The sequence below is a fragment of the Homo sapiens genome, chromosome 20, assembly GCF_000001405.40.
Source record: "Homo sapiens chromosome 20, GRCh38.p14 Primary Assembly".
Lineage (NCBI taxonomy): Eukaryota > Metazoa > Chordata > Mammalia > Primates > Hominidae > Homo > Homo sapiens.
In genome coordinates this window covers 54,123,109-54,125,167 of record NC_000020.11, presented here as the reverse complement: position 1 = coordinate 54,125,167, position 2,059 = coordinate 54,123,109, and the positions used below count along the sequence as shown (strand labels likewise).

General features: G+C 44.3%; 1 annotated feature.

Moving 5' to 3' along the window:
* Positions 809-1,614: an enhancer, noted in NCBI's record as "NANOG-H3K27ac hESC enhancer chr20:52740093-52740898 (GRCh37/hg19 assembly coordinates)". NCBI's record gives its function as "activates a minimal SCP1, AML or CMV promoter by ChIP-STARR-seq in naive H9 embryonic stem cells {active_cell/tissue: H9 hESC(naive)}" and the evidence as "EXISTENCE:reporter gene assay evidence [ECO:0000049][PMID:30033119]".

Here is a 2,059-nt window from a genome sequence, read left to right as displayed (position 1 = left end):
CGATTTGAAGCACATGCTCCTCGCAGTTCATAATTCCCCTTTCGGGATCTCAGGGCACACACAGGACCTCCTCTCCATTTCTCTTGCGGTGCTTAGAAAATGAAAGCTACATTCCTCCCTTCAACAGCCCCAAACAGTACACTATCCACTTAACCAGTTACAGGATGGAACCACCTCAATGTATCAAGTAAATAACCTCAAGTAGATAAACTCTGAAATCCTTTGGAGTGATTAGCCTTAGAAGAACGTCAGGAATAAATTCATTTATTGATGAGGCCATAAAAAGCATACACTCCATTAAAGGTTATTCATTTCTACAATCTTAGGGCTATTTAATTCAGGATCAGAATTTCACAGGGCCTACAAAAATGGTTAAGACCTGGCCTGGCGGGGTGGCTCACGCCTGTAATCCTAGCACTTTGGGAGGCCGAGGTGGGCGGATCACTTGAGGTCAGGAGTTCAAAACCAGCCTGGCCAACACGATGAAACTCCATCTCTAATAAAAATAAAATAAAAAAATTAGCCAAGCGGGCACCTGTAATACTAGCTACTTGGGAGACTGAGGCAGGAGAATCGCTTCAACCCGGGAGACAGAGGCTGCAGTGAGCCGAGATCGTGCCACTGCACTCCAGCCTGGGTGACAGAGCAAGACTCCGTTTCAAAAAAAAAAAATGGTTGAGACCGGAAAACAAAATATTTCTAACATGTGAAAAGGAAATATCAATATCACATATAATAGATGTTTAATAAAGTATCTGCAAAGCAGAAAACTATGTCCATAATCAACTGCATACATATACATATGTGTATATGTATGTGTGTGTGTGTGTGTAAATATGATTTTGTGTGGGATGTGGTTGAAATCAAATCTATTAGAGTATGCAGTAGAACATTCAGATATAAGAACAACATGAGTTTGAAGAAAAGAAATTTGTGAAGAATAGTCAGGAAGTCTAAAACTTAACTGTATGTTGCATTAGGCTTCCGAAGAGCAACCCAAAGCAATTATTTTATCTTTCCTGCTCTTGGAATTTTTAAATGTTTCTTTCAATTACTTGTCTGAAGTGAGTGGCCCATTTTGCAAGGTAGCGTTCCCTTGAATTCATGCCCCGGGTATTTACTGAGTGCCTACACTGTTGAATGACAGTCACATTCCTCGTCAAGGCTTACGTCTAATCAACATCTTCAAAGCCCTGCTTGGTCTGCTCTGGCACCAGGAAGCAGAGACAAAATCAACAGTGTCTCCTTACCTGACTGGCTTTGGCAAGAGGCAACATGACTTTGCATTCCCCAGGGAGGAATGTTGCCCTCGCCCAAGAGCGAATACAGCCGGGTGAACCTGCTCACCTCTCAGCGCCCTCCCTCTGGTCTGAGTGATTCAGAGGGAGACCTGCCACGTTAGTGCTCCTGACTGGGTTTGGTGAGCCTGAGAAACAGGCAGCTTGCCCTTTGATGTGTCTAGACACAGCGATGATTCAGAGATCCCTCTCCAGAGTGCCCGTGAGGAGTGCTGGAAATGTCAGGAGGAAGAAGCCTGCCTTCATGAGGTCCCTGTTGAGCAAAGCAGGCCCCAGGCTGGACATCAATCCTCTCTAGTCACTCCCTCTCTTCCCCTGAAGGAACCAGATGATGAATCACCCACTGGAAAGGTCCACTTCTTTCCTTCCTAATAAACAAAATACAACTTTCAAACCCCATTGAAAAAGGAACCAGGCCTAGTTCCCTCTAACAATACCTGTTTACCTATTGATTTTGCCATGGCTCAGAAAATATGTATGGTGTCCTTAGGAGGACTAAAGTGGTTTTCATATGTAACTCACATCCCCAGGTTCCTTTAGGTGTTTTCTAGAGTAGAGGACCTTAGCCTGGGGAGTAAGGGAGGCAGAGAAGGCCTGAGCATCTCTGAAAGGCCGTCAAAATGTGCATGAACGTTCGTCAGGACAGGGTTTTTAGCTGGGGATTCAAAGGTTAAGAATCTGCTAGCTCTCCAGACTAACTGAGCTCAAAGTCTTGAATTTGTACACAGGGCCAGGCAATGTTCTATACATTCATTTAATCC